Source organism: Homo sapiens, chromosome 5, assembly GCF_000001405.40.
Source record: "Homo sapiens chromosome 5, GRCh38.p14 Primary Assembly".
NCBI classification, from domain to species: Eukaryota; Metazoa; Chordata; class Mammalia; order Primates; family Hominidae; genus Homo; species Homo sapiens.
The window spans coordinates 153,004,167-153,014,182 of NC_000005.10; positions in this window are offsets into that span (position 1 = coordinate 153,004,167).

Below are 10,016 nucleotides of genomic sequence, written 5' to 3' on the forward strand. Positions count from 1 at the left end.
TGCCATGTGTTTGCAATGATTTAAAGACATACACAGAATGGTAAAATATTTGGGCCACCCAACACTCATGTTCTCATCTGAGGTTGAACAAGGTGCTACTCAGCCTTATTTCAGCTCTTTCACTGTAAAGAAGTGTCGTTTTAAAGTCTATTTAGTGCCACATTTTTATGCTTTTTGCTGGTGATTTCACTGTTTAAGTAGACCCTAAACATGATGCTGCAGTGTTGTCCAGCGTTCTGAAACACAGAAGAATGTAATGTGCCTTAAGGAGAAAAAACATGCGTTAAATAAGCTTCATTCAGGCATGAGTTATAGTGCTGCTGGCTGTGAGTTCAATGTTAATAAATCAACAGTGTATATTAAATAAGTTGCCTTTGAATAGAAATACTCATTAAACGAGGTTATGTATTGTTCAGTTGACAAAAATGTGACCAGAGTCTTGCATAAACCTAACCCTGTATCTCCCTAGAGACAATGGTTCCATTTTCTCTAAATGAGTGTTCATAGTGATTTTGGAAACATAACTACAGGAAATAACAAGAATCAACTGTAGAATAACAAAAAGAGCAACAAGTTATTATATAATTCATAGGGATATAGAACATTTCTTAGCTGAGAGTCAGTCAGTTCCTTCTAGTGGGTAGAAGTGAGTAGACATCCACCACAGGGCTTGGTAGGTAGTGGGTAAAGGAAGCCTAATTCAGGCCTAGATATAGAATGTTGCCAGGTTTAAAATCTATTGTACCAGCTTGAGTGGAGATGGTCCAAGAAAGCAAAATGTCTGCTTAGGGCCTGGCCAAGCCAGATGCATCCCTCCTTGAATATCAGCATGTTATTCCCAGGAATCAGTCCACACTAACCTAGTCTCCTCACAACAGAGGCCTGTGAAAACTCAGATGATGCAAAAAGATGCATCCCCTATCACCTTGAAGTTCTGATTTTTATTTTTTATTTTATTTTTTACATCAAGAGATTTCCTAGGGACACCAAGGAAAAACTCCAAAAGACCAAGCATCCGCCGAAATGAGATAAAGTTCATCAAAGGAAAACTTTGTAAAACCAAAAGAACCTGTCTTAAATCAGAAGGGACCGTGATTCAGACTTGGCAAATATTTAAGTTTTATTTGCTTTCTCTCATCGCTACCAGCTGCCATCAACAAACACAGTGGGGGTAGGGCTTATTGAAAAATTTAATTCAGTTATGAAAACTAAAATAAAGCTACAGTTCCCTATACATTTGTATATAGTAGAGAAAAATCTATAATTCTGCTGTAATCCTACAAAGTATTTAAAGGAGGGAAGGAGCTCTATATATGCTAATGTAAAAATATGTCTAAAATATATTTTTAAATGTAAAAAAGCCAGTTACAGAATATTATATATGTATTTACTATGGTTTGAATGTTTGCCCCCTCCACAACTCATGTTGAAATTTAATTGCCAATGTAATAGTATTAAAAAGTAGGACCTAATGAGAGGTGCTTAGGTCAGGAGGACACCACCATCATAAGTAGATGAATGCCATTATGTAAAGGGCTTTTGGGAGTCAGCACTCTCTCCTTATGCTTCCAACTTTCTCCAGGAGATGGCACAGCAATAAGGCCTTTACAAGATGCTGGTACCTTGATCTTGGACTTCACAGGCTCCAAGATGGAAAGAAAGTGAGCATCTGCTTTTTAGGGATTATCCAGTCTATACTACTCTGTTCTAGCCACACAAAACAGGTTAAGACAGAAATTGGTACCAAGAGTGGGGTGTTACTACAGCAAATACCTGAAAATGTAGAAGAGGCTTTGAAATGTGGTAATTGGAAGAAGCTGGTAGAATTTGGAGGAATAGGCTAGAAAATGTCTGTATTTTCATGAATGGAGCATTAAGAATAATTCCGGTGAGGCCATAGGGAAAGTCTAAAACTTTTCAGAAATTATGTAAGCGATTGTGATTAGTAGGTTGGTAGAAATATAGACAGTAAAAGCAATTCTGATGTGGTTTCAGAGGAAAATGAAAAATATTAGAAACTGAAGGAAGGGGCATCCTTGCTATAAACTGGCAAAGAACTTGGCTGAAATGTCTCCATGTCCAAGAGATTTATGGCAGAATGTAAGAGCAATGAACTAGGATATCTGGCAAAAAAAACAGCTCAGTAAAGCAATGGTGAGGACTGTGTAGCTTCTCTTAACTATATATAGTAAAATGTGAAAAGAACTAATTCAAAGATGGAATTTATAATCAAAAGGGAAGGAGAATCTAGAGATTTGGAAAATTCTCAGGCTGGCTATGTAAAGAATAAAAAAGCAGGTTAGGAGAGAAAACCAAGGGTATGGCAAAGCCACTGGTTTGATAAGGAGATGAGTATGCATAGAAGAAAGCCAGGTGCTATTAATCAAGACAATTAAAGATTGACCCTAAAAATATTTCAAAGACCTTCCAGGCTGCAAGTCTGATCACAGGTCCAGAATGCTAGGTACCTGAAGGCAGAAAGATTCCCGGAAAGAGGTGTGGGGTACCTACAGGATCTAAACATTCACTGCCCTATGCGGCCTTAAATGTCTGCTCACTATATACTGGTGCAGCACCCCTCGACTATCCCAGCTGTCATTCAGGTGGGTACATTTATGGCTCCAGACACCATTCCGAAAAGTACAAGCTGTAAATCTTCACAGCCTCCACATGGTGCCAATCCAGCAGGCACACTGAATACACAAGCTGAACTGTAGAATGTGCAATGCCAGCCTGGAAGAGCTTCAGACATGAGACTAACCCATGAGAGCTGCTGCATGTGCTGAATCCAGCAAAATCATATGAGTGAGGATGCCTGAGGCCCAGCAGGTAGGACATAAAGTCAAGAAGAAATATTCTGGAGCCTTAAGATTTAGTGTCATTTGCCCTGTTGGGCTTTGGACTTACTTGGAACCTGTTGTTCTTTTCTTCTGTACTATCGCTCCCTTTTGGAATGAGGATGTCTATCTTAAGCTTGTCTCCTATTTTATTTTCGAAGTAGATAACTCTGATTTCACATACCCAAAGCTTGAGGGGAATTTGCTTCAGGATAAATCATGCCTTGAGTCTCAGCCACATCTTATATTTAGATAAGACTTCTGGACTTTAAAGTCTTGAGTTCATACAGGAAAGTTAAGACTTCTGGGGCACATATATATATATATATATATATATATATATATATATATATATGTGTGTGTGTGTATTTACTATGGTTTGAATGTTGAAATAGAATAAATGTATTTTTTATATGAGAAGGACATGTGTATTGGGGAGCCAGGGGCAGAATGCTATGGTTTAAATATTTGTCCCCTCCAAACTCATGTTGTAATTTAATTGCCATTGTAATAGTATTAAAAGGTGGATTCTTTGGGAAAAGATTATGTGGGATTGTTACCTTACAAAATGATGAGTTTGGTTTCCTTTTCCTCTTTACCCTTCCACCTTCCTTCATGTGAAGACAAGCTTTTCTCCTTTTCCAAGAGTACAAGTTTCAAGATGCCATCTTGGAATAGAAATTGCCAAATTCACCCATATTGATATTGGACTTCCAAGCCTCCAGAACTGTAAGCCAATAAATTTGTTCATAAATTACCCAGTTTTTTACATTCTATTATATGTATGGAATGAGACCCATATGAAGCTATCTGTACATTAAAAATATATTTATACACATGTTTTTGTAAAGGCATGAAATATTTCTGTAGTCTGTCTTATCTCCATTGTTGCTTTACCCAGCATGCTGCCTTATATATAGTAGGTATTCTTTTAATATTTGTTGAATGAAAAATTAAATGAACAAGTTATTCAATAAAAATGAGAAGGGAGGAAATCCAGAGACTTCTCTTTGTATTTTTATATCCTTCACTATTTGCACTTATTAGCACAAGCATTCATTACATTCAGAATAAAAAAACATCTGAAATGATTACACCACTGTTTATTTTTCAAAGGCAGTGGCTAAGCCCCTTTCAAAATCACAATGATATTCCTCATCCTCTGTTCCACCTCCTCACACACCTTCCTCCAATCCACAAAGATAATGAGCCTCTTTACAATCCTGTGTGTACTTTGGGACTAAACTTTGGCTACAGAGGATCTTAGAGGAAGATGCTTGATGTGACCTGGCTTATCTGATTCTTTCTCATGTAAATGTGAACTTGTTTGTTCCCAAGGGGCGACAATATGTTAGATTCTCTGCTGGTTGGAATCAGCTATGTATTTGAGAGTTGTGGATGTCTGTCATGGACCTTGAGTAGCAAAGCAAACCACTTATTAGGAAAGAAAAATGAGGTAGACAGAAACCTATAAGCCATAAGCAGCACAGAAAAGAAACACCTCAAGCTTCTGACATCTTCCCATTTTTGTTCTTTTTTTGAGGGCCAGTTGTACCCCTGTCCCAGGGTCCCCGGGGATTCAACAAAATAATCAACTATTTCACAGAAGCCATCTTGAGCTGCTTTCTGTAGGCAGTCATTTAGAATTCTAATGGATCTCCCTATTGCCTCATCAATGAAGACTGAGCATTATTGCCCATATACAAAAGCATATACATGACCTTTCATGATTTGGCCCTCACCTACCTCTGTGTCCTCTTCCCCTCAATACTCCATTATACATTGCCTCCTTACTTTACCCAGGGATACCATTGTAACACTCTTTATTGGGCTAACGCTGACTCTTTCCAGTATTAATTTCTTTTTTTTTTTTTAAAGTTCTGTATGGCCATTGAAGCCACCACCCACCACATCTCAGTAAGGACTTCAGCGTGTGCTCCTCTATAAAAGGGGCACTCATCACACAATAACACCTTACTCTTCCACATGTTTGACTCTCCAACTAGACTGCAGCTTCCTTGTAAATGGAATCTTCTAATTGCGGCTTTATCATCAGCATCAACATGATTTATGTCTCTCACATAATTCCCATTCAATAAATATTAACTGAATAAATTATTATATTCACATCCACATTGTTCATAATCTTATACTTTCATATTCTATTGATTAAAATACCTATGAAAACACAAAACAATAAAAAAATTGGCCAACCTGATATGTTTATATTCCCTCAAGTCTAAACTAAAAAAGACACAGTTAGAACTAATGGATGTGGTGACCACATAACAGATGCAGATACCTCAAGACACAGCAAATTGGAGAATACAAGAAGTAAACTAATTACAATTTATTTGAAACTGTTAGTCTGACAATTAGATATCATACAACAAAAACTCTCATAATTGCAGGTTTTCATAGTTATGAATCCAAAAGATAAAAATAAGAAATCTCTCAGGTAAAAATTAGTTTCTTTTATCTACTATAACTAAGTTACTGTACTTTTATCTTTTTAATACACTGCCTCATTTAAAGACACTTCATAATCTAAAACATCTCCTGATTTTAAAGATGAGGGAATGCAGATTTGGATAGAAGTAATATGACTGTATTAGTCCATTCTCACGCTGCTATAAAGAACCGCCAGAGGCTGTGTAATTTATAAAGGAAAGAGGTTTAATTGACTCACAGTTGTCCATGGTTGGGGAGGTCTCAGGAAACTTACAATCATGGCAGAAGGGGAGGCAAACACATCCTTCTTCACGTGATGGCAGGAAGGAGAAGTGCCGAGCAAAAAGGGAAAAAGCCCCATATAAAACCATCAGATCTTGTGAGAACTATCATCAGAACAGCATGGGAAAAACCACACCCATGATTCAAATATTTCCACCTGGTCCTGCCCTTGATATGTGAAGATTATTACAACTCAAGGTGAGCTGTGGATGGGGACACAGAGTCAAATCATATCAATGACCAAGATCAGAAAGTTAATTAGCAGCTGAATGTGGACTAGAAATCACCGCTTTTGGCTTTCTTTCTTGATCCAAACTGGTTTCCTTCATCTTTAACAGCAAGTTTTCAGGTCAATTTTAGTGCTTTCAGCTCAAGCCTGCCTAGAATTTAATATTTCAGGATTGCCATGCTCTAGCCCCTGGATAACAGAGGTATGTGAAAACCAAAATAAATTTTATTGGAAACTGATTTTATAGGCAGGAATAAAAAATATCATCTAAATAAATCACTGCAGTGTTAATCTTGAAGTAAAAGTTGGTTATGTCTCGAGCAAGGTCAGTTTTTGGCATTCAAATTAAATAAATATAAGCCAGCTTATCTTTTGGAAAGCAGGAGACTATAAAAACACAATTGCCAGAATGGGAGAAAATTGAAGCTGATTTCCATGGCAACAAAAGAGTTACACAGATGAAATAGGGGCACATAAAAATTGATATATGCTACATTAAAAATAGAAAATGGAAAGTAAACAACAAGGGATTGACATTCATAAAGAATTCCCTGAGAGAGGAGGCTACCACTGAGACACCTTGAGTCTACGAGCCAGTAGGGAAAATGTTTTCAACTGGAAGTCTCATGTCTGGCTTATTGCAGTATACAAATGCCTCAATGGTTATGGTTTCTCTATACTAACATGGAGTGGACTTTGTCAGTTGGGTATTTTTCTGTAGCAAACTTTTGTGGACTTATTGAATCTTTAGGTGGAAGACTTGGGTTGAGGTTATCAGACACCTTAAACTTAGAGAAGTCTCTTCATCCTACTAACCTTACCTTAGTTTAGTTTCCATCATAACCTTCATGTTCAAGGTCTTTGCCCACTTTGACATATACTCCATCACCCTAGGGGATTTACTTTTCTAAAACAAATCTCAGTCAAGATCCATTTATAGTCATTTATATGAATCCCCACTACCCTCTTTAGCATGACATACCAGCTTTTCATATTTTAAGCCCTACTAAATCCCCATCCCATGTCATGTTCCCAGCACTCTAAGCATACCTTTCTTCATCACCGAATGCCTCCTTGGAACTGAAGACATTTGCCCACGCTACACTCATTGTCTGTATCATATGCCTTTTCATGGTCGTCCATTCCTCTCTCCTAGCTTTTCCTTATTTTAGTAGGAATAACCTCCACCTGGAAGCCTCTGCTGACTGTTCCACCCACCTCCACGGGCCAGATGTCTCTAAAAACATGCTCCCATGGAACTCTCTGCATGCAGTGATTACAAATGTTTATTATATTGTACAGAAAGTGCCTGCTCATTTGGCAGTCTTCGTTGCTAGGCTGATAGCTAGTTGTGATTTGTCTGTAATCACAGCCCTAGTGTCTGGCACATAGCACAAACTCGATATATATTTATGGACTAAAATGAACTAAAGATAAATATCTCCTATGAGTATTTGCCTATATTTCTGTTGCATACCATTCCTAACATAAAGCTCATTTACTACAATGAAATCTCAATCTACTTTTTAATAGTTTGAACACTTAGAAAGTTCTATCAGGCAGGAGAAGGAAATAAAGGGCATTCAATTAGGAAAAGAGGAAGTCAAATTGTCCCTGTTTGCAGATGACATGATTGTATATCTAGAAAACCCCATTGTCTCAGCCCAAAATCTCCTTAAGCTGATAAGCAACTTCAGCAGTCTCAGGATACAAAATCAATGTGCAAAAATCACAAGCATTCTCATACACCAATAACACACAAGCAGAGAGCCAAATCATGAGTGAACTCCCACTCACAATTGCTTCAAAGAGAATAAAATACCTAGGAATCCAACTTACAAGGGATGTGAAGGACCTCTTCAAGGAGAACTACAAACCACTGCTCAATGAAATAAAAGAGGATACAAACAAACGGAAGAACATTCCACGCTCATGGGTAGGAAGAATCAATATTGTGAAAATGGCCATACTGCCCAAGGTAATTTATAGATTCAATGCTATCCCCATCAAGCTACCAATGACTTTCTTCACAGAATTGGAAAAAACTACTTTAAAGTTCATATGGAACCAAAAAAGAGCCCACATTGCCAAGTCAATCCTAAGCCAAAAGAACAAAGCTGGAGGCATCATGCTACCTGACTTCAAACTATACTACAAGGCTACAATAACCAAAACAGGGTGGTACTGGTACCAAAACAGAGATATAGACAAATGGAACAGAACAGAGCCCTCAGAAATAATGCCACATATCTACAACTATCTGATCTTTGACAAACCTGACAAAAACAAGCAATGGGGAAAGGATTCCCTATTTAATAAATGGTGCTGGGAAAACTGGGTAGCCATATGTAGAAAGCTGAAACTGGATCCCTTCCTTACACCTTATACAAAAATTAATTCAAGATGGATTAAAGACTTACATGTTAGACCCAAAACCATAAAAACCCTAGAAGAAAACCTAGGCAATACCATTCAAGACATAGGCATGGGCAAGGACTTCATGTCTAAAACACCAAAAGCAATGGCATCAAAAGCCAAAATTGACAAATGGGATCTAATTAAACTAAAGAGCTTCTGCATAGCAAAAGAAACTACCATCACAATGAACAGGCAACCTACAGAATGGGAGAAAATTTTTGCAACCTACTCATCTGACAAAGGGCTAATATCCAGAATCTACAATGAATTCAAACAAATTTACAAGAACAAAACAAACAACCCCATCAAAAATGGGCGAAGGATATCAACAGACACTTCTCAAAAGAAGACATTTATGCAGCCAAAAAACACATGAAAAAATGCTCATCATCACTGGTCATCAGAGAAATGCAAATCAAAACCACAATGAGATACCATCTCACACCAGTTAGAATGGTGATCATTAAAAAGTCAGCAAACAACAGGTGCTGGAGAGGATGTGGAGAAATAGGAACACTTTTACACTCTTGGTGGGACTGTAAACTAGTTCAACCATTGTGGAAGTCAGTGTGGCGATTCCTCAGGGATCTAGAACTAGAAATACCATTTGACCCAGCCATCCCATTACTGGGTATATACCCAAAGGATTATAAATCATGCTGCTATGAAGACACATGCACACGTATGTTTATTGTGGCACTATTCACAATAGCAAAGACTTGGAACCAACCCAAATGTCCAACAATGATAGACTGGATTAAGAAAATGTGGCACATATACACCATGGAATACTATGCAGCCATAAAACACGATGAGTTCATCTCCTTCATAGGGACACGGATGAAGCTGAAAACCATCATTCTCAGCAAACTATCACAAGGACAAAAAACCAAACACTGCATGTTCTCACTCATAGGTGGGAATTGAACAATGAGAACACATGGACACAGGAAGGGGAACATCACACACTGGGGACTGTTGTGGGGTGGGAGGAGGGGGGAGGAGATATACCTAATGCTAAATGTCGAGTTAATGGGTGCAGCACACCAACATGGCACATGTATACATATGTAACAAACCTGCACGTTGTGCACCTGTACCCTAAAACTTAAAGTATAATAATAATAAAATTTAAAAAAAAGAAAGTTCTTGCTGTTTTTCACATTTTTAGTTTCATGTATCGCAACATTTATGTACCATTACTTTGTGTTTTATTATTTGGAATTCTCACAACCACCAGAGAAGCTCCTGATGGCTCCTTTCTGAAACTCAATTGCTCAAGAATGAAAAAGTAGAAATATGCAATCAAATACTACATGTTGTTTAGTATTTATCCACTACCTGGAACTGCCTGTTAGATTACACTAAGGAGAAACTGAATAAAGGCAGAGAAATAAAAAGACCAAAGGAAGAAAAAACCTATGTCCACAAAATGGCATTTGCAAAAAAGTTCACAGCAACTGATTTATAATAGCAAAGAAATAGAAACAATGTGACATCATTAGTATGGTGGTGTAGGAAGCCCTGGACTCTCCTTTCCTCCACCAACATATGAATTCAACACTTTATGGACAAATAACCTTGTGAGAAATCAGATTGAGAGTCTTCTGCATCTAGGAAAGTACATACAACTAGACTCATCAAAGCCAGTAGGGAGATTTAGGATATTCTTTTACCAGACACTCTGCCACCAGTGTAGGACTGTTCAATTTGGAAGAAACCCCCAACACCCCCAACCCCAGTTCCCAGTTTCATCCAGGAGGAAGAGGAAAGAGATTGGTTAACACATCCAATGTCCC